A 26,123-nucleotide genomic window follows, 5' to 3' on the forward strand; every position below is an offset into this window, starting at 1 on the left:
GATATACAAGGTATACTATTCAGTAAAAAAAAAAACCTCAAACACATTTGAAATTAGTGTCTATGTTAGAATAATATAGGAAAAAATCTGGAGGAACATCACCAAACTGATAATAGTGATTCTTTCAAGAAAGGTAGAAATACTTCTGGGGAAGGCTTTTACTTTCTATATTTTACACACACACACACACACACACACACACACACACACACACACACACACACACAGAGACAGGGTATCACACTGCCACCAGGCTGGAGTGCAGTGAAACGATCAGAGCTCACTGCAGCCTCAACCTCCTGGGCTCAGGTGATTCTCCTGCCTCAGCCTCCTTTTAGTAGTAGCTGGGACTACAGGTGTTTGCCACCACGCCTGGCTGATTTTTTTATTTTTTATTTTTGTGGAGATGGGGGTCTCACTATGTTGCCCAGGCTGGTCTTGAACTCCTGGGTTCAAGTGATCCTCCTGCCTTGGCCTCAGGGATTATTGGAGTGAGCCACCAAGCCTGGCCTCTATATTTTTACAATTTTTGAATTTAAAAAATGGGCATGTTTAAAAATTATAATCAGAAAAAAACCTACTAAAATCAAAACATACAAGTAACACAAAGGGAATACTCTGTTGGAACCTATTACCAAGTCCTCATAACTAGGATGAAGAACTGATGGTAAGCATTCTGGAATCAGAAAGCAAAGGAACGGCTAGTAAATTTGGAGAGAAAGCTTAGTAACAGAATGAAGGGAACAGCATAAAGGATAGGCCCTTTCAGAAGAATCTCTGGGTAAAAATCATTAAGCTAAGGAGACACGTGGAAAAAGCAGGTGGGCCAAAGGAAGACTCCCCTCCATCACCATTTTATGAAAGAGGTCTGAGGTAGGGAGGAGATTTCATTTCAAACCACACACTCTTAAACAGTTCCCAAAACCCCAGCCAAAAAGAGAACGGTGGCCCTTTTGTTGGTCAGGTTCATCTGCCCAGGAAACAGGTCACTAAGTATGGTCCTTGGGGGTGTGGTCTCCATGACTTACAAGCTGATGAGGAGTTACCAAACCGCAGGGTGGAATGGGAAACTCAGCCCAAAACAACTTGCCCTGGGCTCCGGGCCACGCCTGGGCTCTGCCGAGTCATGCTCAGGCGCCTGCACTAATGTGACCCCCTGTTTGTTCTCAACTCTGCACCTGCTCTCAGCTCCCCCTGCCTGTCTGCTGCTTGGGTGGGGCTCTCTCTGACTCATGCCTGCACAGCAAAGGGGTGCTTTCCTGGGAAGGAGCAGGTCAATCTTTTTATGAAGACAAGCTGTAATCAATCAGCTGGGTATAAGATGGGGTTTTCACCCTTTCCAAGCTGCATGAGCTCCAGCCACCCCTAGGAGGAGACAACATATCACGCATCTCAAGTGAGTGGCTGTGGGGAGGGGCAAGCTGACTGTTTGGATAGGTGGGGCCTAAGTTGTACATTATGACCAACTGAGGCCAGTGGTTTCCTTTTAAAGTTTCTTCTCTTATATGCAGACATCCTTGTTTCCTGAAATAAATATGAGTGTATTCCCCAATTTCTATCCCTCACCTATCATGAGGATGTTCAAACCTGCACCAGCTTCTCTCACCCACCATAGTAGGACAATGCCTGGGATGCAAATCACTGGGAAGACCTCTCAGGGGGTGGCTGTTTTCACTCTTCTAATAACAGAACAGGCAAAATGAGAAGTTTAATGATCCCAAGAATCCTCCAAAGTATGTTTTTTTTTTGTTTTTTTTTTTTGAGACGGAGTCTCGCTCTGTCACCCAGGCTGGAGTGCAGTGGCGCGATCTCGGCTCACTGCAAGCTCCACTTCCCGGGTTCACGCCATTCTCCTGCCTCAGCCTCCTGAGTAGCTGGGACTACAGGCACCCGCCACCACGCCTGGCTATTTTTGTATTTTTAGTAGAGACGGGGTTTCACCGTGTTAGCCAGGATGGTCTCCATCTCCTGACCTCGTGATCCGCTTGCCTCAGCCTCCCAAAGTGCTGGGATTATAGGCGTGAGCCACCACGCCCGGCCCCTCCAAAGTATGTTTTTTAAACTGCCTGCAGATCACTAATCAGTCAGGAGAGAATGAGAGACTGAAGTTATGCTAATAGGCAGCAACAGTGCATGTTTCAGAGGAAGTCTGACATCGCAGCTGTGTAACCAGCAGGGATTTCCTTCTCTTCCTTGGGGAGAAAATCATCAGAAAATACTGGGCCAGGGCTCTGGAATTAAACTGACACTTGTAAAAGAGAGAGAAAAAAAAAACAATCTAAAGATAGGTCTGATGCTGCTGCCTTGTTTTCATTTTTGCAATAGGACCTGGAGGGAGAATGGCAAGCAGCTGATTCATCTCCATTGCCTGTGAAACACTGCTACTCCACGTGTCACTTCTCACTCAGGGGTCCCCTCCTCACTCCTCCCTACTCAAGGGTAACCTCCATCCTGAATTTTGTGCTTATCATTCCCTTTTTTTTTCTTTATAGTGTCAACATGTTTTGTTCCTAATACTGCTTTGTTTTGCATGTCTTGAACTTTATATAAATGGTATCCCACTGTATATATTCTTCACCAATGGATTTTTTTTTTAAAGATTCATCACTGTGTATAAAGGTAATCCACAGAGTGTAATGAGTATGCCACAATTTATTTCCCTTCTGTTGGTTCAAGCAATTCTCCTGCCTCAGCCTCCAGAGTAGTTGGAATTATAGGCATGCGCCACCATGCCTGGCTAATTTTTGTATTTTTAGTAGACACAGGGTATCACCATGTTGGACCAGGCTGGTCTCAAACTCCTGACCTCAAGTGATCTGCCCGCCTCGGCCTCCCAAAGTGTTGGCATTACAGATATGAGCCACCACGCCTGGCCTCATCATGTTTTAGTCGGTTACACTAAACTGTTTTTTTCCAATGAAGCTTTGTCCTGAGACAGTTTATTCTAACACTTCATCACTGGTAGGAATAGATGTAATGTATTAGATCATATCTATTATTTTAAACTATTAAATTTTAAACTCGGCCGACTCCCCACCTCCCACCCCCTTCCAGGCAGGCAGCAAATAAACAGCTTGCCAAAAAGGAACTTCAGAGTTGGTCTGTATCCTGGATGATATAACCAAGTCTCAGATCCTTTTCCCCCTTGAGTGGCCTCTGACCTGAATTTGGATTCATATAAAGACACAGACATACATAAGGTGATGAGGTCATTCTGGGAAATAATTGGCCTTTTACCTAGTTAATGAACAAGAGGAAATTTTATTTTTATTTTTAAATATTTTTAAGTTGTCAGCCTTGTGTAGGGGCCATGCCAATCTTCTCTGTATAGTTCCAATTTTAGTGTATGTGCTGCCCAAGTGAGCACAAGAAGAAGGAAATTTAAATGACAGATGCATAAGTCGTCCCATTATCTTGCCTCCACTTTCATATTGTTACGTGTTTGGTGAAACATCAACTCTGAGAAAGTTATATAAAGGAAAAGGCTGCTAAAAATGGAGTACTTGCGCCTGTAATCTAGCTACTCAGGAGGCTAAAGCATGATGATCACTCCTAGAGCCTAGGAGTTGAGTGAGACTAGCCTGGGCAATATAGACATTGTCTTTTTTTTTTTTTTTTTTAAAAAAAGAGGGCCAGGAGTTATAGTAAAATCAGGCTGCCTATAGTTACTTTTTGGGGTATTAGGCAGCCTGTATAAAGGAAGAGAAAAAGCATTATCTGAATATTTTTTTGTGTGATGTGCATCGCCCAAGATGCTTTAAGATTATTTAACTGGAAAGCTAGTAAGAAAATCCTTTTAAATCTCCATTGCTCTTGGCTGTCACCTGACCAGGAGTCCACATCTTTCCTTCTCAGGTTGCCTACTGCCAGCTGACCAATGTGCATCAGCTAACTAGACCTCAGTGTCTCCACCAGCAAAGCCAGGGTAAAAGACAACCCTGCCTCCTCTGGCCCTTGTGACAGGGGCACTCAAAGAATCAAAACTGACATTTCTGAGGAAACATGGCACAGACTCTCCCTGGTCACCACCCAGGTTTTTTTCCTTGCCCCCTATACACTGAAACCTAATACCACAGACACACGGTCCAACTTGCAAATGGTCTGCTTGAAATCTAAACCTCTCTAATGGAACATAAATCTGCCAGATACCTGCATGATCAGAGTGCAGAATAACAAACAGGGCTGCTGGCAGTTTAATGGAGTTTTAAAACACAGGCACACACACAGACACCACCCCCCCCACCGCCTCTTGTTTTGCTCCCATCCCCCATCTATAAAAACAGAAAAAATAAAATCAGATATAAATGCTATAAGTAGCTTTATGATACCCTTCTTTTTAGGTCTAAAGGGAAATATTAAACATTAGCCTTCTCCAGGCTCTTAATGATATACTGGGAGGTGCAAAAAGTCCCTTGTATTTCAGAGGGGCTTGGCCCATACCCTCATACTCTGATTAAGACTGTAACCAATTCACAAATCAGTACAGGAGCCTGGAGTCACTTTGAAAACTTCTCTTCTACTAAGGCCAAAGCACTAAGTGAATGCCCTCAAACAGAGAGCTGCCACCTCAAATTAAATACCCAGGGCCACCCTGGATAACCATGGAGCTACCGAATGCTAGGATCAGGGCTCTGCCTCTTTGAGAAAACCACCACAGGCCTCTTGGGATAAAATATAAAATGCAAGATCTAAACACTTGGACAGGAAATGGACTTTCTCTGCAAACAATGAGAGATTTTTCTAAGGATTTTCCTCTCCTGCTTACCTAAATTGCAAGGCTTGATAGAGCTTCATACAGTCATAGGAGTCTGGAGATTTTTTTCTTTGCTCTTCTAAGCAGGCAGATCTGGAGTGGTACTTTGGTGCTGGGCGAGTCTGCTGGGCCTATTCACTTGGCAGTTAGCCTACAAGTACCAAGGTGTCCTAATAACACATCATAGATTGCAGACCCTAACAGCTATATATCCAACAGCCATTTTTCTTACTGTCAGAGGCCTGATTTGATTTGGGTGTTCACTGTCCCATGGGTTCAGGAAATGTGGCACTTCCCTAGATCCAGAGGATAAATGTGAATACGCTTTTTTTTTTTTTTTTGACACGGAGTCTCGCTCTGTCACCCAGGCTGGAGTGCAGTGGCATGATCTCAGCTCACTGCAAGCTCCACCTCCCGGCTTCATGCCATTCTGCTTTAGCCTCCTGATTAGCTGGGGTGAAGTGGCGTGATCTCAACTCACTGCAACCTTTGCACCTTGGGTTCAATGATTCCCCTGCCTCAGCCTCCCGAGTAGCTGGGATTTGTAGGCGCCTACCACCATGCCTGGCTAATTTTTGTATTTTTAGTAGAGACGGGGTTTAGCCATGTTGGCCAGGCTGGTCTCGAACTCCTGACCTCAAGTGATCCACCCGCCTCGGCCTCCCAAAATGCTAGGATTATAGGCGTGAGTCACCGTGCCCGGCTGTGAATATGTTTTATCCAGTCCTGGAAATTCTATTTTCTTGGCCATATGACCCAGTCCTAGGCAATGGGTGGGGAGCTTTTGGGGAAGGTCTTCCTATCCAGTTTAAATGCCCCTTTTCTTCAGCCAGATGCTGTACAATTTACAGACGCCTAGAGATGTGGCAGACATCTGGCAATTGTCAGACAACCTCAAGGACCAAGCTGTTAACTAAGGAAGGTGGAACAGAAAGCTGTAGAACACCAGAGTCCATGATTACATTACCACTGAGCCACTACAGAGACTACTTTTTTGTTTCTTTTTAAAGGAGATGATAAGTGGTACAACTTTTATCTTTTATTTGCCCTGCAGGGTCCACTCTTCAGCTTCTCCACCCTGTTTGCTGCTGCGGAGGCAGCACAACAACAGGGCCCCTAGTTTTCTGACTTCCAGAGGGTTTGGCTATTGGGGAGTTCTGGAAGGAGACTGGAGGAAAGAGAGTGAGGGCAAGGTATTTACTCCCCTAGCTCCCTCAGCACGGGGCTACCTCAGGCTAGCTGTGTCCCTCTGACAGAAAGTTATTGCTTGCCTCTGAAAGTGCCTTTCTCTAACAAGAGTCTCTTTCCAGGTTCTAGTAACTGCTTCCTCTCTTTTTGGGTCTAGGAGCTGTTTCCAAACAGCCCTGCTGATACAAGTCCCTTGATTCCACTACAATGCCACACTTGTAAATAGTCCCTTTATAAAACTCTCCTCAATGGCCAGGTGCGATGGCTCACGCCTGTAATCCCAGCACTTTGGGAGGCCGAGGCAGGCAGATCACGAGGTCAAGAGATCGAGACCATCCTGGCCAACATGGTGAAACCCCATCTCTACTAAAAATACAAAAATTAGCTGGGCGTGGTGGCGCACACCTGTAGTCCCAGCTACTCGGGAGGCTGAGGCAGGAGAATCCAGAAGGCAGAGGTTGCAGTGAGCTGAGATCACGCCACTGTACTCCAGCCTGGCGACAGAGTGAGACTTTGCCTCGATAAATAAATAAATAAATAAATAAATAAATAAATAACCCTCCTCAAATAATCCTAATCTGAGTCTGCTGTTTCTTGCTGAGATCCTGATTGAGGTAATTGATTACTTGCAGCCAAAAGCAGCCTAAGTGACATCCCTAGCACTAGATAGTACTTAAAATCCAGAAAACACCACAATATAGGAAATTCTAGGAACACTTCCCATTTCAGTTTTGAATGGAATATGTCTGTGGGTGGCAGGAGGCAGTAGTGATGTCATGGAAGAGGAAATAAATGGCACATACACGTGTCTTCTGGGTAGCCTTGGAGGAAGATGAGAATCATATCTGAATAACTCTCAACAATACGTAATAAACATTCAAACACATTTTTATTCACAATAACCCTGTGAGATGGATCTCTTGATTTTCATTTTATAGATGGGGTCAGGTAAGGATGAGAAATGTGAAGTAACTTCTCAGGGTTGCAGCAAGAGGGTGAACCAGGAATGGAAACCAGATCTACTGACTCAAATTCTGTGCTTTTCTCTCCCCAGGGCTTGTCCCTCCCTCCATGAATCAAGCCTAGGAAGCTGAGATGGAGCAAAAAAAGGAAGGGAAAGGGAAGAAAAGGTGATTTTGGGTTTATACTGCCCTTCTTATCCTCATCTAAGATTTTTCTGAAACTCCTTCAACAACTAAGGAAAACCACACACATTAAAAAAACCCAACCCAACAGCTTGCAGAAGCCTGGGATTCCAGAATAAATACTAAAATTGGCAGGACACGTAGTATCCTTTCTCTCAGTGGGTCACGTGAGGACACTGCCCAACATCTGTCATGTGTGTCTGGGAATATATATTTATTTCTTGCTGAATGCTCAGATGCCTCTTTCTTGTGCCAAAAAGAACTGCTACATCCTACCTTCTGATCTAATCTAAAAATGCCATCAAAATCTGGCCCCAAAGACCTACAAATTATTTTAAACACAGGACGCTTCAGTATCCTCCCAGCCTCCTAAGAGAATGGTTCAGATAAAATCATGCCAAATGTTGAGTAAATGGGAGGGGTTTTTTAGTGGAAACCATAATGCTATGCTGTGGCCACATTTTCACAATACTTCGGGGGCGGGAGGGTGATCCCTCTGCCCAGATAGGCTGGAAGGCTATGTAACATTTTGTTCAGGGGAAACACAGTCCAGATTCAAGAGTCAAGACCAAATCATAAGACTCACTGGAGTCAAACACTGGCACCAGCCCCAACTGCTTCTAGACAGCTGTGCCTTCACCCTAACAAAACCACCTAGAATATACCTACATGGAAAAAACAAAGCAGAATCTAGAAATCCACAGAATTTCAGCATGTAGCATCTCAGGAAACTGATCCTTAAATCACTTAATATCTGATGCTTGTTCCTGCTGCTGAAGGTGGCTTTAACCACCAAAGGGATAATAACGTAGTGCAATTAATTACTCATTTTATAACCAATTACCAAATTATTATTGAAAACAGCTGGTTCTTACCGATATAGGAAGACATTCAAGACCTGGTACTGAGTGGAGAGGTAGACTACAGAACAGTTTTTGTGGCGAAAATAGCCACCAAAATATGTGATAGAGTAAAACCTTGAGAAACTGGTAATGTCAACTGCTGTCTGTGTGTATTGAGCTCATTAACTATTTTTTCCTTTTGCAATTTTCTGCATTTTTGAAAAGCATATATAATTGGATTAAATTGTTTTTTTGAGACAGAGTCTCACTCTGTCGCCTAGGCCGGAGTGCAGTGGCGCGATCTCAACTCACTGCAACCTCCGTCTCCCGGGTTCAAGCGATTATCCTGCCTTAGCCTCCCGAATAGCTGGGACTACAGGTGCCCGCCACCATGCCTGGCTAATTTTTATAGTTTTAATAGAGATGGGGTTTCACCATATTGGCCAGGCTGGTCTCAAACTCCCGACCTTGTGATCCGCCCGCCTCAGCCTCCCAAGGTGCTGGGATTATAGGTGTGAGCCACCACGCCCGGCCAAAATATTTTTTAAATAAGAAAGAATTGTTTCTAGGAAGTGCTTTCATACCTCAAAGGAGTTATACACATCCGTATTCTGCTGATTTGTCACATGATCAAAATTACTGGAGAAGGCTCAGTGAAAACAAGCACTGAGGTAAAGAAATACCCAAATTAGCAGATGGTACTTATTTTTTTTTTTAAAGAGTCGGCCAGGCTGGGTGGGGTGGCTCACGCTTGTAATCCCAGCACTTTGGGAGGCCGAGGCGAGCGGATCACAAGGTCAGGAGATCAAGACCACAGTGAAACCCCATCTCTACTAAAAATACAAAAAATTAGCCAGGCATGGTGGCGGGCACCTGTAGTCCCAGCTACTCGGGAGGCTGAGGCAGGAGAATGGCGTGAACCTGGGAGGCGGAGATTGCTGTGAGCCGAGATCGCGCCACTGCACTCCAGCCTGGGTGACAGATCGAGACTCTGTCTCAAAAAAAAAAAAAGAGTCGGCCAAAGGTTGCAGCGAGCCGAGACTGTGCCACTGCACTCCAGCCTGGGTGACAGAGTGAGACCCTGTCTCAAAAAACATAAAAAATACAAATAAAATATGAATGAATGAATGGGCCAAAAAATTTCCAAGAATTTCAGCTAAGCCTCGCATTACCTTGAGAGTCACTGGTATCCATTTTTTTTTTTTAAGGGCAGCTGAACCTAGTCTTATAAGATGTTGAAAAGTGGTATTAATATTTAGTATTTCCATCCTTTATAATTATATCAACCTGAAAGATTAAATGCTTAATCTTCCATACTACTCTTTTTTTTCTTTAAAAAAAATTTTTGGTACTGCTCCTTATGGGGCAGAGCTATCCCACTGGCAGTGTGTCCAGGGAAATCTTTCTTTTCTTTTTTTGAGATGTTGTTTCGCTCTGTTACCCAGGCTGGAGTGCATGGTACAATCTCAGCTCACTGCAACCTCTGCCTCCCAGGTTCAAGCGATTGTCCTGCCTCAGCCTCCCAAGTAGCTGGGATTACAGGGGCCCATCATCATGCCCAGCTAATATTTGTATTTTAAGTAGAGACGGGGTTTCACCATGTTGGCCAGGCTGGTCTCGAACTCCTGACCTCAAATGATCCGCTTGCCTCAGCCTCCCAAAGTGCTGGGATTACAGGCGTGAGCCACTGTGCCCGGCCAGCCCATGCAAATCTTAAATGCTTACACTTATGTTTTGAAAACTGGATTGATAGAGAAATAAGTCTTTTTTGAAAAAATATCACATCCAAATCAGCTTGAGAAGTAGCTACAGAGAAGGACACTTCATCTTGCTTTAGGGAACTTAAAAGGAGGGAGAATTGGAGAAAGTCACTGACTCACCTTGCCAGCAAGATCCCCTGATACTCTTCCAGTTGTCTCATGAAGCTTGGGTTGGGCTTGGTTACCGTTCGTCTTTCTTTCACATAGTCATAGGCTCGGTCCAGATTCCAGCCATATTCCTTCATTGCATAGGCAATCACGGTGGAGGCTGAGCGACTCACCCCCATTTTGCAGTGCACAAGGCATTTAGATCCATGTTTCCTTGTTTGGGGGATTGAGGTAAAGAATAGAGGAAAATACAATAGTGGGGATATTTTAAAAGTTGGTTTCTAGATTTTTCCAAGTGTCCTGTCCTGCTCTTCCATTTTCTTGCTATGCAATCTCTCCACTTTGGTACACTCATATACATTTATAATCAAATGTGTGGGTAGGGTAGAGTGAGGCAGCTCACTACTAATTATTCAATGTTAATATTATGCTTCTTTAATCCATTCAGCAAACATTTACCAGGCATTTACAATATGTGTAAGGCAATGTGCAAAGTGCTGGGATGCAAAGGTAAGTAACATACAGCTTTTATCCTAAAGGATAGGATTCAGTGGGAGAAACATACAATTAAAATGCAGTATGGGGCTGGGTGTGGTGGTTCCCACCTGTAATCCCAGGACTTTGGGAGGCTGAGGCAGGTGGATCACTTGAGGTTGGGGGTTCGAGACCAGCCTGGCCAACATGGTGAAACCCCGTCTCTACTAAAAATACAAAAATTAGTTGGGCAGACTGGGCGCAGCGGCTCATGCCTGTAATCCCAGCACTTTGGGAGGCTGAGGCAGGTGGATCACGAGGTCAGGAGTTCAAGACCAACCTGGACAAGATGGTGAAACCCTGTCTCTACTAAAAATACAAAAAAATTAGCCAGGAGTGGTGGTGTGTGCCTGTAATCCCAGCTACTCAGGAGGCCGAGGCAGGAGAATTGCTTAAACCTGGGAGGCGGAGGTTGCAGTGAGCCGAGATGGCACCACTGCACTCTAGCCTGGGCAACAGAGCAAGACTCTGGCTCAAAAAAAAAAAAAATCAGGGTCCTGATTAGGATGAGATATAGGAGCATTTTAAGAGATACACACCCTTAGGTGCTGATTCATGCTTGCAAAAGCCTGAGAGTGAGTGCCCTCAGTTGTGCCTGGGTGCCCCGTACGTCTCTCCCTAATCCTAAGTAAAATTAGCCTTTCTTTTCACTGGGACTGGGGCCTAGCCTTCTAGTACCTTTTCCTTATAGAACTAGACTATTCCAGTACCCTTGGATTCTGAAATGAGACAAGTTTTTTTTTTTCTTCCCCCTAAACCCAGGCTCAAGTGCAGTGGTGCGACCACAGCTCACTGCAGCCTCAACCTCATGGGCTCAAGCGATCCTCCCACCTCCCTCAGCTTTCCAAGAAGCTGGTATCACAGACATGCACCACTGTGACCGGCTAATTAAAAAAAAATTTTTTTTTGTAGAAATAGGAGTCTTGCTCAGGCTAATCTTGAACTCCTGGGCTCGAGTGATCCTCCCGTCTCAGCAAGATCTTTGTTCAAGTCCTATCTTCACCACTTATTTGACCTCTCTGAATGTTGACAACATCTGCCCCTCTGGATCTTAGAAAATACTACATGAGAGAACAGTAAGCATGCCATGAATGGTATTATTACTGGGAATAATTTATTAACAGAATTCAAAAATATAAAACACTCTTTTAGGTACTTGCTGAGAATAAAGGAATAGGCTCAAAGCTAGAGTATGAGGATTTAGAGAAACTAAGAGGAAGAACTTCCTGACCGTGAAGGTCCTTAAGAGAAGTGTGAAATTATTTTTGAAGGAGTTTAATTAAATACAAAAGCACTTCTCATCTGCCAGGGATGGTTTGAACATAGTCCTACCTGAAGGAAGATGTGGCAAACAAGCTCGTTTATGGTTCTCTCTAGTAAAGGAATAAATAGGATTGGCAAGGAAATCCCCAAGGACTTAAAAACAAAAAGGCAGTGTTGACATTAATACCAAACACTAAGTTAATACAAAATACTCTCACTAGAAGAGCCAACTAATTTAAGGAAGACATCAACAGAAGGGCCACAGAAAAATTTCATCATTTAGAGTATCATAAAAATAAAGTAAGAGAGTAGGAAAAGATTTCCAAAGTTTGTCTCCTTATCTTCAGCGGGGAGGACCAGTATTCTATCTATCTGAAATAATTTCTATGATATAACTTTTAAAACTCCCCACTGGCAACTTAATTTCATTCAGAATTTCTTCCTTCTCTCATTTCTGTATCTTTTGCTGCAGTTTAAGTCTATTTTCTTTAATTCTGTGCTCAATGGAAATAGCCAACATGAGGTTACTTTCTCCTAGGGGTTTACTTTACTTAAAGTGAGTCACTAGTCTTTTGCCTAGGATTAAAAAGATTTCAGTCTCCTCCTTTCCTTAGTTCCTTTTTCCTGAGTACCATCAGTAAGTTGTCTATAGCCCTCAGGACCCAGCCATGTGTGGTGGGGCAAGAGGAACAGAGATCACAACATTGTGCAGGACTATTACTCACTTTGCTTTAGAGATGAATTTGTAAGTGTCATTCCAGTACGCCAGGAGATCCGTTGCCTCTTCATCATATACCCGAATGTTATGATACTCAAAGACTCCTGGGAAGAAGTTATCTATCTCTCGAGTGACATTCAAGATATACCGTACCCTGCAAGGAAACCAAGGGAGAATATGTGCTCTACTACTCAGGCTAAATCCAATTCCCAGCACTGTTTTTTCTTACTTAAAACTTGTTTATTCCATAGACTGAAATTAAATACAAAAATAATGAAGACAGCTAAAAAACTAAGAGGTTATATTTATTTATTAGAGAAATGATACAGCAGGGTTCCTGGGCATACCTGGGCACCAGGGAATTATTAAGCAAAAAGTTATTCACCATGTTCAACATCTAAATTCCATTTTCAGTTTATGTAGTTATAAAATCGTATCCTTGATAGTATTCTGAAAATATGCCTCATATTTTACTCCAAAGAATCAACTTGAGTCCATAATCAGACACTTTCTCAGTTACTAAAATTGTCAGCAATACAATTTATTCTCTGAAAGTCATCTGTATAAAATCAGACTACTGACATGTACCCCAAGTGAAAAAAGAGAGAATGAATAACGATTTCTTCCTATTTTTCTAAATGCCAGATTGTTAGGCTTTGTGCAATTACTCTCTCTAAACTACATGAAAGGCAAATGAGGACAGAACTGGAAGGGTCAGAGAAAAGCCGGACTTAAAACTCCCTTAAACTCATTTGACTGCATTACTGGCTGCTATGGCATCGATGTATCCGAAGATTCTTCCACACTAAGATGCTTGCAGAAGAGAGTTTCTGTATCAAAACAGTCTTCTATTATCTTTCTCACTGCACAATCTCAATAAATGCTTGAGCTCCATTTACCAAATATTATCTTTTCTTAATGCTGTGATTTAGACATAGCTGGATGTCTAAGTTTACTCCAACAATACAGCATGGACTCACTCATTTCTCTCTGAGACATTGCTTCCTTCTCAGCACAAATGTGAAGTTCCATAAACCCAAACTCTGAAATCAATGAAATGAATACAGAAAAAGAAAGCAGCCATAGCTAACCAAATCTGTGGTTAAGGTCAAGTGGCCAAAAATTTTCTCAGACACGAATTGAATCTGTTTTAACTTGGCATCAAAGCCCATTACTACAAATTTTTTTTTTTATTTAATTTAAAAAGCGAGCTTGGCCAGGCGCAGTGGCTCACGCCTGTAATCCCAGCACTCTGGGAGGCCGAGGTGGGCGGATCACCAGAGGTGAGAAGTTTGAGACCAGCCTGGTCAAGATGGTGAAACCCCGTATCTACTAAAAATACAAAATTAGCTGGGCGTGGTGGCATGTGCCTGTAATTCCAGCTACTTGGGAGGCTGAGGCAGAAGAATTGCTTGAACCCGGGAGGCGGAGGTTGCAGTGAGTCGAGATTGCGCCATTGCACTCCAGTCTGGGCAATAAGAGTGAAACTCAGTCTCAAAAACAAAAAAAAAGGTGCAATTGCTATGGAAAACAGTACAGCAGTTTCCCCAAGGGTAAACACAAAATTACCACAGGACCCAGCAATTCCTTTCCAAATAATAAATCCAAGAGAAATAAAAATATAAGCCCATCTGAAAACTTGTACACAAATGGTCACAGCAGCATTATTCAAAACAGCCGAAGAGTGGCTCTTTGTTAGTTGATGAACATTAGTGATTTCTAGGGATTGTTGGGGCAGGGGTAAGAAGAAAAATGGAGGTGATTCCTGAAGGGTACAGGCTTTCCGAGTTGAAAAAATGTTCTAAATGGATTGTGGTGATGGTTGCACGGCTCTATGAATATACTAAAAACCAACAAATTATACATTTAAAATGGGTGAATCATATGGTATGTAAATTATATTTCAATGAAACTTTTAGAAAAAAAGGCAACACTCCAGCCTGGGTGACAGGAAAAAAAGGAAAAAGAAAAAAAGACAGGCAACACACTTTCCTTATTTTATTTTATTATTTATTTATTTATTTTCCCCAAGATGGAGGCTTGCTCTGTCGCCCAGATCTGGAGTGCAATGGCACGATCTTGGCTCTCTGCAACCTCCGCCTCCCCGTTCAAGCAATTCTCCTGCCTCAGCCTCCCGAGTAGCTGGGATTACAGGTGTGCGCCACCACTCCCACCTAATTTTTGTATTTTTAGTAGAGATGCTGTTTCACCGTGTTGGCCAGGCTGGTCTCAAACTCCTGACCTTGTGGTCTGCCTGCTTCGGCCTCCCAAAGTGCTGGGATTACAGGTGTGAACCACCTTGCCCGGCCTCCTTATTTTATTTAAAATAAAAATGAACAATCTCCCACCTCTAATCCCATACCTCATAATAAATTATGGCACTATCTTTCTAGAGGCAGGACACAGCTTCCCAATCCTTTTCATTACAAAGCTGTAGGCAGTCACTGCCAATTGGAACTGAAACTCCTTGAAACTTTTTTCCCATCTCAGCACCAAATGACTCTATACAGAGTAACATTTTACTTTGGGTAAGGTTCTGAAGTCAGCAGATTGGATGGAAATGGCCTTAATGTCAAAATTACCCTTGAAAATCCCATTAAGTCATCTATAGGCAGCACTATATGTGGTTTTGTGTACAGATCCCTGAACTGTAATTCTTCACATATTAAAATTTAACAATCACTGAATTTAAGAAACAAGATCTAAGTAGCTATCTGGGAATTTGACCATACTGTTTTTAAAGACAACTAGATACAGTTAGTTGCATTTTATAATTTAGCCTTCTAAGAAGCAAATGATATGATGGGTCTCATCTCCAGCTGGGGTTATATTCTAAATTCATATGTATATATGACATGATTCCAGTGCTTTTGGCAAACACTGCTATACCGCATCTCAGGCTTAATATTAAACACTGTATCTAGGTTTCCCAGAAGTACAGATTTTTTTTTTTTTCCCCAGACAGAGTCTCACTCTGTTGCCTAGGCTGCAGTGCAGTGGCATGATCTCAGCTCACTGCAACCGCCACCTCCCGGGTTCAAGCAATTCTCCTGCCTCAGCCACCTGAGTAGCTGGGATTACAGGTGCCTGCCATCACACCTAGCTAATTTTTTGTATTTTTAGTAGAGACAGGGTTTCACCATGTTAGCCAGGCTGGTCTTGAACTCCTGACCTCAAGTGGTCCACCTGCCTCAACCTCCCAAAGTGCTGGGATTACAGGCGTGAGCTACTATGCCTGGCCAGAATTACAGAATTTTTAAAGCTTGATGACTTGAGAAGCTTGTAAAAAACATTGTCCCACTCCTAAAGAAATCTTAAGGAGACTCTTGTATATAAAGCAGATGCAATGTTATTAATCTTGTTGAATTATGGGGTCCTTATGCTTCAGGGGCATTTCCAAATAAGGCAAATGGCAGATACAGGATTAGAACTGAGGTCTCTGAATTCCCAACACAGTTTGCTAATTGATTTTCTCTCCTTATCTGCCATCAGCCAAGTCACAGTGTTCAAATATGTGTGAACATACCTATCATTCATTCACATTTACTGAGCACCCTCTTGTTATACAGCTCTGAGCTAGGTAGATAGTAAGCTATAAGCAAGACTAAGATACAGTCTCTGCCTTGAAGAACTCTAGACTTTCTTATTAAGTTTTCCAAGTTTTATTTAACTTCAAATTTTAAATTAAGCAACCAGATTCCCCTCCCCACCCCCCGGAATTCTTTGTATAATCATTTGGCTTAAGTCCTGTTCCAAGTTCATTTGGCCAATTATGAAATACTTTTCATGTGGGGAAAAAGTAGGGAGTATTTATCCACTAATGGTAAAGATAACCAGGAGGCTTATGGCTGAGAAAACAGGCAGCCAGCAACCATCACTACCTCTGAGTCTCAGCTGGTCTTATCTCTTTCCACAATGAGTTAGCATGGCAAATTTCAGACCTTATTTTCTCTTTTCTTATTGGGATTAGCTGACCTCCTAAAGTGAATGAACTTCAATAAGAAACTTAGTAGGCATCAGCTAAGGGAAAAATGGCAGCTTTTTACTTGCTGAATGTTCACTGTAGTCTCTATTGTTACAATCAAACTTAATAACCATGCTGCTTAGGGACAGTTTTCTTAATATAAGATAGGTCCTCTTCAATTTCAGAAGCTTGTCCAGTTCACAACCATAACCTACAGTCTTTAAGCAGCTTACTACACAGGATAGGGACTGAGTCTTAATTTATCTGTGGATCCCCAGCACCTAGCACTTTGTCCCACAGAAGACGCTCAATCAATGTTGAATGAACAGCTCTGTGAACCCTACATATGCAATTCTATGTATTCTTGCATAAAAATAAAAATTTGATTTTAAACATCACCAATGGTTTGCACATTTGTTCTTCAAAGCCCTTCAATTAAAGCAGCTGGTATTCTTGGGAGGTGGGGGGACGAAACAGGGAGAATAGCTGTTTTTCTTTTTCTTTTTTTTTTGAGATGGTGTCTCGCTCTGTCACCCTGGCTGGAGTGCAGTGGCGTGATCTTGGCTCACTGCAAGCTCCGCCTCCCAGGTTCACGCCATTCTCCTGCCTCAGCCTCCTGAGTAGCTGGGACTACAGGCGCCCGCCACCATGCCTGGCTAATTTTTTTGTATTTTTAGTAGAGACGGGGTTTCACTGTGTTAGCCAGGATGGTCTTGATCTCCTGACCTGTGATCCACCCGCCTCAGCTTCCCAAAGTGCTGGGATTATAGGCGTGAGTCACCGTGCCCGGCCCAGCTATTTTTATTTTTCTTAGATTACATCTGATTAGAATCAGTCAGATGCAACTCTTAAGATTAAAGTTACCCACTGATACCTCTTTGATGGGAAAATGAAGATAAAACAGGGACTTCTGTTACACAGGGGTGCCAGCTATTGCTTTGTGTGCTTACCCTCGGTTCTGTAAGTCCTCTAAGTTGGAGGCATTCCATTCTGAGCCCTATGGAGCCAAAAAGACAAGGTTAAGGAGTATTAGCAAATCAACCAAACAATACTTGAAAAGGAGCGAGAGAAGAAGAACTTTCAAAAAGAAGACTAATAACATCTACCAGTGCCCTTTAAGTTGCCAGGCACTTCATATGTTATCACATTTAGTTTTCACAAATGATAGAGTAAGAATGTTATTTTCATCTTCATTTTTACAGATACAAAAACCAACTCATAGAATTCAAATAATTTTTGCCCATGATCATACAGCAGGAGAGGTGTCTTTAACCATCATCCAATCTAAATTAGATGTCTTCTGTTATTCTTGCTCATAGTAATCTCCTATTTTCCTCAACAGCATGTATCACAATTTGTACCTATATATTTATTTATGTGCTTACTTTCTAACTACCTTTAATATAAGCTCCTAGAGGTCGGGAACCAGCTCTTTTCTTCCCTATGGAAACCCACGCACCTTGCACAGTGCCTGGCACCTGGCAGGTGCTCAATAAACATTTGCTGAATTTTTACAGATAACAAAAGCAGCATTATTATGCATTGAACTACACCTTATTCCAAAGCTCACACTCTTTTTTTTCTGAGACAGCGTCTTGCTCCATCACCCAGGCTGGAATGCAATGGCGTGATCTCGGTTCACTGCAACCTCTGCCTCCCGGGTTCCAGCAATTCTCCTGCCTCAGCCTCCTGAGTAGCTGGGATTACAGGTGCGCGCCACCATGCCCAGCTGATTTTTGTATTTTTTAGTAGAGGCAGGGTTTCACCATGCTGGTCATGCTGGTCTCAAACTCCTGACCTCGTGATCCACCCGCCTCAGCCTCCCAAAGTGCTGGGATTACAGGTGTGAGACACCGCGCAGGGCCGCTCACACTCTTTTTAGTGCATTAAGTTGCATCTAAGGAGTTAAAGGACAGAACTTGTGTGTGGCAGGAGAAGACACTGAAATAGCAGCTTCTGTCAAACAAATGAGGGAAACATTATATGTAAAATTTTAAGATAGGGATAAATGGCAAACTTTGGGGGAAGAGGTTCTGCTGATGATCTGGAGGACACAATTATTAATATTTTGCCATATTTGCTTTCTTTCCTTCTTTCCCTTTTCTTTTAGTACATATCATACTTTTTCCCCCTGAACCATCTGAGAGCATTTTGTGCACCATGACACTTTATTCAATACTTGAGCATGTATCATCTAAGAACATTTTCTTACATAATATGATCATACCAAAGAAATGTAACATTAACACAATAACCTGATACACTATACATATTTGAATTTCTACAAATGTCCCCAAAATGTCCTTTATATTTACTCAATCAAGGATAATTCTTCACATTTAGTTGTCATGTCTCTATCCTCTAGCTACACTTTTTTTTCTTTTGAGACAGAGTCACCCAGGCTACAGGGCAGTGGTATGATCCTGACTCACTGTAACCTCCACTGCCAGGGTTCAAGTGACTCTCCTGCCTCAGCCTCCTGAGTAGCTGGGATTATAGGCATGCATCACCATGCCCAGCTGATTTTTGTATTTTTAGTAGAGACAGGGTTTCACCATGTTGCCCAGGCTGGTCTTGAACTCCTGACCTCAAGTGATCCGCCTGCCTCGGCCTCCCAAAGTGCGGGGATTACAGGCGTGAGGCACTGTGCCCAGCCTACTTTCTTTTTTCTTTTTGAGACGGGAGTTTCACTCTTGTTGCCCAGGCTGGAGTGCAATGGCACAATCTCGGCTCACTGCAACCTCCTCCTCTGGGGTTCAAGCGATTCTCCTGCCTCAGCCACCCGAGTAGCTGGGATTACAGGTGCCTGCCACCATGCCCAGCTAATTTTTTGTATTTAGTAAAGACGAGATTTCACCATGTTGGTCAGGCTGGTCTCAAACTCCTGACCTCAGGTGATCCGCCTGCCTCGGCCTCCCAAAGGGCTGGGATTACAGGTGTGAGCCACTGTGCCCGGCTACTTTGTTTTTTTTTTTTTTTTTTTTTTTTAGAGACAGAGTCTTGCTCTGTTGCCTAGGCTGGAGTGCAGTGGCACACTGCAGCCTTGAACTCCTGGGCTCAAACCATCCTCCTGCCTCAGCCTCCCGAGTAGCTGAGACTACAGGTGGGCAGCACCATGCCTTGCTAATTTTTTTACTTTTGTTTCTTAGAGATGGGGTCTCACTATGTTGCCCAGGCTGGTCTCAAACTCTTGGCCTCAAGTGATCCTCCCCACCTTGGCCTCCCAAAATTTGGGATTGCAGGAGTGAACCACCACACCCAGCCTAGCTTTAATCTAGAACAGTACATCTTCTGCTTTCTTTGGGAGTGTGGGAGGGGGTCTTTCATAATATTGACATATCGACATTTTTGTAGACTCCACATCTGTTATCTTGGAGAATTCCCCACAATCTGTATTTTTTTTTTTTTTTTGAGACAGAGTTTCACTCTGTTGCCCAGGCTGGAGTGCAATGGCACAATCTCGGCTCACCGCAACCTCTGCCTCCTGGGTTCAACTGATTCTCCTTCCTCAGCCTCCTGAGTAGCTGGGATTACAGGTGCGCACCACCACACCCAGCTAGTTTTGGTATTTTTAGTAGAGATGGGGTTTCTCCATGTTGGTCAGGCTGGTCTCGAATTCATGACCTCATGATCTGCCCACCTCGGCCTCCCAAAGTGCTGGGATTACAGACAGGCATGAGCCATTGTGCCCAGCTGTATTTTCTTTTTTAAGAGGTGGGTCTCGTTATGATGCCCAGGCTGGAGCTCAGTGGCTATTCACAGGTGCTATCATTGTGCGCTATAGCCTTGAACTTCTGGCCTCAAGTGATCTTCCTGCCTCAGCCTCCTGAGTACCTGGGACTACAAGTGCATGCCACCATACCTGGCTTGTATTCAATTTTAGAGTGCTTTTTCTATTCTTTCCCATTTAATATTTTGGGCATACAAAACTTTTATGTGATTAAAAGTCAAAAGCTTATTAAAAAGTAAACTTAGAGGCTGGGTGCAGTGGCTCACGTCTGTAATCCCAACACTCTGGAGGCCGAGGCAGACGGATCACCTGAGGTTGGGAGTTACAGACCAGCCTGACCACCATGGAGAAACCCCGTCTCTACTAAAAATACAAAATTAGCCAGGTGTGGTGACGCATGCCTGTAATCATAGCTACTTGGGAGGCTGAGGCAGGAGAATCACTTGAACCTGGGAGGTGGAGGTTGTGGTGAGCCAAGATTGTGCCATTGCACTCCAGCCTGGGCAACAGAAGCGAAACTCCGTCTCAAAAAAAAAAAAAAAAAAAAAAAAAGTAAACTAAGAGGTCTCACTCTCACTCCTATCTCTTTAATTCCTATTGGTGACATTTTCATTAGTTTCTGATTTACTCTATTTTGAAAAAATATAAGCAAACATATGCTTATTGCTACTTCTTACTCATATTACCAATTCTTACTAATATGCTACACATAATTTTTTATTAATTGCTTTCATTTTACATATATTTCATTTTATATATCCTCAAAACCACTAAATGTAACAGTTCATAGAGATCTTATTTTTTCCTACATCTGCATAGTACTTCATGAGTACTGATATAATAGTTTATTCAACTAGTCTCCTATGAATGATATTTCTTATTTGTGGAAGCAGGTTTGCTAGGTCAAAGGCAGGATACACTTTTGTTAAACACTGCAAAATTTCCTTCCGTAGAGGCTGAAACAATTCTGTGGTCCCACCAGCAATGCATCAGAGCACCACTTTCCCCACAGCCTCTCCAATAAACTGTGGTTAAGCTTTTGAATTTTTGCCAGTCTGATAGGTGTCTCAGTGTAGTTTCAATTTGCATTTCTCTTAGAAGTAAAAGTGAGCAACTTTTCATTGTTTAAGATCTATTTTCTATCTTTGAGCTATCTGTTCATATCTTCTGAAAAGGCAGACATTTTATTTTATTTTATTTTTGAGACGAGACTTGCTCTGTCACCTAGGCTGGAGTGCAGTGGCACCATCTCGGATCACTGCAAGCTCCACCTCCCGGGTTCATGCCATTCTCCTGCCTCAGCTTCTCGAGTAGCTGGGACTACAGGCGCATGCCACCATGCCCGGCTAATTTTGTTTTTTGTATTTTTAGTAGAGACGGGGTTTCACCGTGTTAGCCAGGATGGTCTAGATCTCCTGACCTTGTGATCTGCCTGCCTTGGCCTCCCAAAGTGCTGGGATTACAGGCGTGAGCCACTGCGCCTGGCCAGACATTTTATATATATTTTTTGAGACGGAGTCTCGCTCTATCGCCAAGGTGGAGTGCAGTGACGTGATCTTGGCTCACTGCAATCTCCACCTCCTGGGTTCAAGTGATTCTTCTGCCTCAGCCTCCCGAGTAGCTGGGATTACAGGCACGCACCATCATACCCAGCTAATTTTTGTATTTTTAGTAGAGATGGGTTTCACCATGTTGGCCAGGATGGTCTCAATTTCCTGACCTCGTGATCTGCCTGCCTTGGCCTCCCAAAGTGCTGGGATTACAGGCGTGAGCCACCACGCCTGGTCAGGGCAGACATTTTATAATAAGAGTTTACTCTTTCAGAATTAGAGGCATTAATGGAATTTAGCATTAGAAGACTTAGGTTCAAGTTCTGACTGCCCTTCCTACTGTGGGTGGGGACATTAGGGCCAACTGCCTAACCTCTCCTTTTTTTTTTTTTTTTAGATTGCAGTCTCGCTCTGTCGCCAGGCTGGAGTGCAGTGGTGCAATCTCAGCTCACCGCAACCTCTGCCTCCCAGGTTCAAGCGATTCTCCTGCCTCAGCCTCCCGAGTAGCTGGGACTACAGGTGTGCGCCACCACATTCAGCTAATTTTTGTATTTTTAGTAGAGATGGAGTTTCACCATGTTGGCTAGGATGGTGTCCATCTCTTGACCTTGTGATCTGCCCGCTTCAGCCTCCCAAAGTGTTGGGATTACAGGCATGAGCCACTGTGCCTGGCCAACCTCTCTGTCTTTATCTGTAAAATGAAAACCCCTTCCCACCCCAGTAGTATATATTTAATGGGTACATTTCCCTCAAATTATACATGCAAAGTTTTTCCCATATTAAAATGGAAAACCCCTCTCTCTCTCATAAATCCTCCTGCAGACTCTGTCCTTTCTCCCTTTCCTTCATGACTTCATAGAAATAAAGTCAAATACTCACTTTCTGGATGGGTGCAGTGGCTCATGCCTGTAGTCCTAGCACTTTGGGAGGCTGAGGTGGGCAGATCACCTGAGGTCAGGAGTTTGAGACCAGCCTGGCCAACATGGTGAAACTCCAACTTTACTAAAAATACAAAAATTAGCCTGGTATGGTGGTGCGTGCGTGCCTGTAATCCCAGCTACTTGGGCGGCTGAGGTATGAGAATCACTTGAACCCAAGAGGCAGAGGTTGCAGTGAGCCGAGATAGCACCATTGCACTCCAGCCTGGGCAAAAAGAGTGAAATTCCATCTCAAAAAAAAAAAAAAAAAAAAAGAAAAGCAAATACTCATTTTCTCTATTTCCTCATTTCCCACGTATCTCATCCATAGCACTTGGGCCTCTGCCCTCATCACTCTCGCTGATGTTACTAATGACCTCTCCTAATTGTCTTATCACCACTGTATCCTTATTCCATTGGCCTTCTCTGAGTATCTATCTGATATGGCTCATCATGCTCTCCTTCTAGAATTAGATCAGACTGTACAAATACCTAGTCTCATACCTCACACAATAAAGAGGATAGACAAACGTTTGTTAATTGGAAGATCAAATGTGACCAGTAAATGAAGCACTGTGAAAATTGTTAAGTGTTGTGTAAGTACTATCATATTACAGGTGATCTGTAATCTGGCCGTTGAACTGGGAAAGCTCAAGGACACTGTGCTGAAGTTCCATTTAGGAAAAGGTCAGTGGTGATGTACAGGCAAGAGCCCTGCTGGCTTGTTTTAAAAAAATATGGGAGGCTCTGAAGGCTCTGCTCAACCTTAGAAAACAAGCTTCTGCACCAAAGAAATAGCCAAGAACTACAAAGGACTTCAAGGAGACAGATGCCAAACAATAGGGGCTGAGAAGTTAAACTGGAGCCAGCGAAATGTGACCACCTCACTTCTTAATTTAGAAATCTAAATCCTTCGTGGAACTCTGTCCAGTTAGATGAAAATAACATTGACACGATGGATAAAGTCCCTAGTTTTCATCTACCTGTCCAGAGAGAGTTCAACCTGACAATGTGAAGTGATACCTATCCATTGGCAAATAAATTAAAGGCACTGGTTACTGACTCACTGAAGCCCATACAAAGGGACTTGGGCTACACTTAGGGCTGCTTCAGGTTCAGTTTGAAAGACCTAGAGACCACTTGGTATAATTACTTTTCTGTACTCAATACAAATGCCATGTATATTAGACTTCCGGGGCTCTTTGCAGACCCAATTTCCCCCCCGCCCATGCTTCATAGGCTTATGGTGACGTAATTCTACCAGGGTTTCCATTATGTTCTATGTAATTATGCAAAGCATATTCTAATTTTACTGAAGTGTAAAATGAAACCTTTGGACTATAATACATTTTAAAGTAAGTTCATTTCCATCTTTTACTCTGGTTCCCTTGCACTGTACGCTGGCCCAAAGACCCAAGTAACTGATTTCTTTTCATGCTATCCTCAGGAAATAGCCTTGCTGGAGTCCAAATGTCCAAGGAAAATAGAAGACTACAGCACATTTATAGCAAATAAGGACTGTACTGTGGGAGTTCTGCTAAGATAAATATAACTTGACATAATATCCAAGGACTGGTATCTCTGTCCATATTTTATCATATCATTCCTATAGCCTCAATACTGTAAGTCACATTACTGTGGCAACCAGGCATAAGCTGTTTATTAACTTTTCCTTCTAAGAGAAATTTATGCCACACCTCCTGAATTTATCACATTCAGGGACAAAAATCATGAATGTGATAAAATAATCCTTTCTATTACTGTCTCACCTATTTACACACCCTCTGTTTCTCTTCATCTACATTAAAAGTAACCAATTTGAGGATTTTTTTTTAACTTTTAAGTTCAGGGGTACATATGCAGGTTTGTTACATAGGTAAACTTGTGTCATGGGGGTTTGTTGTACAGATTATTTCATCACCCAGGTATTAAGCCTAGTACTCATTAGCTATTTTTTCCTGATCCTCTCCCTAGGCTGAATTTTTTTATGAAAAGGAAACACTTTCCCAAAAGATGTCAAATCTTGTAATGTCAAATCTTGAAAAAGATAATCAGCAGTAAAAGTTCTATTTTTCAAATTCATGAGCAAAATTATTGGTTATGTGTCCAATATACTTGTTTGCCTGCTTTTCTGCAAAGGGTCTCTATCAACATCTAGCTTTTTCTCAGCCAAATCGGACAGCCTCCAGGAGAGCTGATGATACTGAAACTTAGTTGGGCAAAGGCTTCCAGCTCAGAGAAGTGATATGCTTGTAAGGGTGTAGAATCTCTTTTTCTAGAAACACCCTGGCTTCCCACCAATCAATTCTCTCTTCTCAATGCAGCTTTTATTTAAGCTATAATCTACACTTTCCCACTCCATACCAGCTGGATACTTTCCCTAATAAACAGATCTCTGTGCAGTACACTGCAGAACTGAGCATTCTTCCAAAGGGAAGGAGAAATCCTGTTGCCTCTCTTTACTCAATCTGGTTGAGCTCCAGGCATGGCAGCTATGCAAGATGAGATGACTCTGCAGAAAATCAACACCACCACTTGCAGCTAGAATGCCTCTTTTTCCGTGTCAACTGCTAGGAAAGCCAGCAGGGCAAAGACTCAATGGAGAAGAGATAGGGAGTTGGACATAGGATATGGCAGTGTAAACAAAGGGAGGAAGCCACCAAGGAACAAGTATAATAAGATGTTTAGACAACCTGTTCATGCATTTACTTTGTTAAGTAGGATTTAAATTACAGAGATCCTCAATTTTGAAGTTTTTTTTCCCCCAAATAAATATTCACAATAGAAAGAAAATGTCCATTTTCTAGAATACAGAATTATACCTGAAGCTGAAGAGATTTTCCTTTGTTCAAAAATATGTACATATATACACAATGCTGATGTGCAAAACAAGTACACAGATGTGTATTTAAAAAGTAAAAACTTCTATGTGATACTCTAATAGTGAATACAGACAACAAATTTGTCCAAATCCATATAACGTACAACACCAAGAGTGAACCCTATTGTAAACTATGGACTTTAGTTTACAATGATGTGCCAATGTAGAATAATGTGCTGTAACAAATGTTACACTCATTTGTTACACTCCACTCTGGTGGAGGATGTTGACAATGGGGGAAACTATGCATGTGTTGGGATAAGTTGTATATGGGAAATCTCTATACCTTTTGCTCAATTTTGCTGTGAACCTAAAACTACTCTTTAAAAAAATAAAGACAATGTATCATATCTGTGTGTGTATACACAAAAATATATATGTACATCTATAAATAAAAGTAAAAAAGATTGGGGCTGGGCGCGATGGCTCATGCCTGTAATCCCGGCACTTTGGGAGGCTGAGGCGGGAGGATCAGGAGTTCAAGGCCAGTCTGGCCGACATAATGAAATCCCGTCTCTACTAAAAACACAAAAAATTAGCCAGGCGTGGTAGTGTGTGCCTTTAATCCCAGCTACTTGGGAGGCTGAGGCAGGTGAATCGTGTGAACCTGGGAGGTGGAGGTTGCAGTGAGCTGAGATCATGCCATTGCACTCCAGCCTGGGCGACAGAGCGAGACTCCGTCTCCAAAAAAAAAAAAAAAAGATTGGAAGGCAATATTATATAATAAAAGATGATGGTGATTATCAGTCTTGATGATTAAATAAATATGA

At 42.7% G+C, this 26,123-nt stretch overlaps 1 protein-coding gene, 1 long non-coding RNA gene and 1 pseudogene across 14 annotated transcripts in view, besides 6 other annotated features; 1 reads left to right on the forward strand and 2 right to left on the reverse strand.

Moving 5' to 3' along the window:
- Nucleotides 1-26,123, reverse strand: part of SSH2 (slingshot protein phosphatase 2) — a 304,291-nt gene that overhangs the window by 12,398 nt on the left and 265,770 nt on the right. For 10 of the 13 annotated variants that reach the window (XM_047436967.1, XM_005258058.4, XM_047436968.1 and 7 more), the window contains 3 exons: nt 17,226-17,272; nt 12,319-12,465; nt 9,809-10,009 (listed from right to left, as the gene is read on the reverse strand). In XM_047436967.1, the coding sequence (XP_047292923.1) occupies nt 9,809-10,009; nt 12,319-12,465; nt 17,226-17,272 (395 nt within the window). Of the gene's footprint in view, nt 1-4,765; nt 5,044-6,811; nt 7,032-9,808; nt 10,010-12,318; nt 12,466-17,225; nt 17,273-26,123 lie in introns of those variants that run through there. The other 3 variants (XM_047436970.1, XM_017025253.3, XM_005258060.4) reach the window with 2 other exon arrangements.
- Nucleotides 1,035-1,344: an enhancer, noted in NCBI's record as "active region_11983". NCBI's record gives its function as "activates an Ori minimal core promoter by ATAC-STARR-seq in GM12878 lymphoblastoid cells {active_cell/tissue: GM12878}" and the evidence as "EXISTENCE:reporter gene assay evidence [ECO:0000049][PMID:35858748]".
- Nucleotides 1,035-1,510: a biological region, named in NCBI's record as "Sharpr-MPRA regulatory region 11433".
- SSH2-AS1 (SSH2 antisense RNA 1) lies at nt 1,166-2,566 on the forward strand. Its single transcript, XR_001752823.2, has 2 exons — nt 1,166-1,396; nt 2,326-2,566. It is a non-coding gene; the product is annotated as an SSH2 antisense RNA 1 (long non-coding RNA).
- Nucleotides 1,216-1,510: an enhancer, noted in NCBI's record as "tiled region #11433; K562 Activating non-DNase unmatched - State 5:Enh". NCBI's record gives its function as "activates a minimal TATA promoter and a strong SV40 promoter by Sharpr-MPRA in K562 cells {active_cell/tissue: K562}" and the evidence as "EXISTENCE:reporter gene assay evidence [ECO:0000049][PMID:27701403]".
- RNU6-920P (RNA, U6 small nuclear 920, pseudogene) lies at nt 3,276-3,367 on the reverse strand (annotated as a pseudogene).
- Nucleotides 5,076-5,370: an enhancer, noted in NCBI's record as "tiled region #3347; HepG2 Activating DNase matched - State 9:DNaseU, and K562 Activating DNase unmatched - State 6:EnhF". NCBI's record gives its function as "activates a minimal TATA promoter and a strong SV40 promoter by Sharpr-MPRA in HepG2 and K562 cells {active_cell/tissue: HepG2 | K562}" and the evidence as "EXISTENCE:reporter gene assay evidence [ECO:0000049][PMID:27701403]".
- Nucleotides 24,896-25,190: an enhancer, noted in NCBI's record as "tiled region #7669; HepG2 Activating DNase unmatched - State 6:EnhF". NCBI's record gives its function as "activates a minimal TATA promoter and a strong SV40 promoter by Sharpr-MPRA in HepG2 cells {active_cell/tissue: HepG2}" and the evidence as "EXISTENCE:reporter gene assay evidence [ECO:0000049][PMID:27701403]".
- Nucleotides 24,896-25,190: a silencer, noted in NCBI's record as "tiled region #7669; K562 Repressive DNase unmatched - State 5:Enh". NCBI's record gives its function as "represses a minimal TATA promoter and a strong SV40 promoter by Sharpr-MPRA in K562 cells {active_cell/tissue: K562}" and the evidence as "EXISTENCE:reporter gene assay evidence [ECO:0000049][PMID:27701403]".

This window comes from Homo sapiens, chromosome 17 (genome assembly GCF_000001405.40).
Source record: "Homo sapiens chromosome 17, GRCh38.p14 Primary Assembly".
Lineage (NCBI taxonomy): Eukaryota > Metazoa > Chordata > Mammalia > Primates > Hominidae > Homo > Homo sapiens.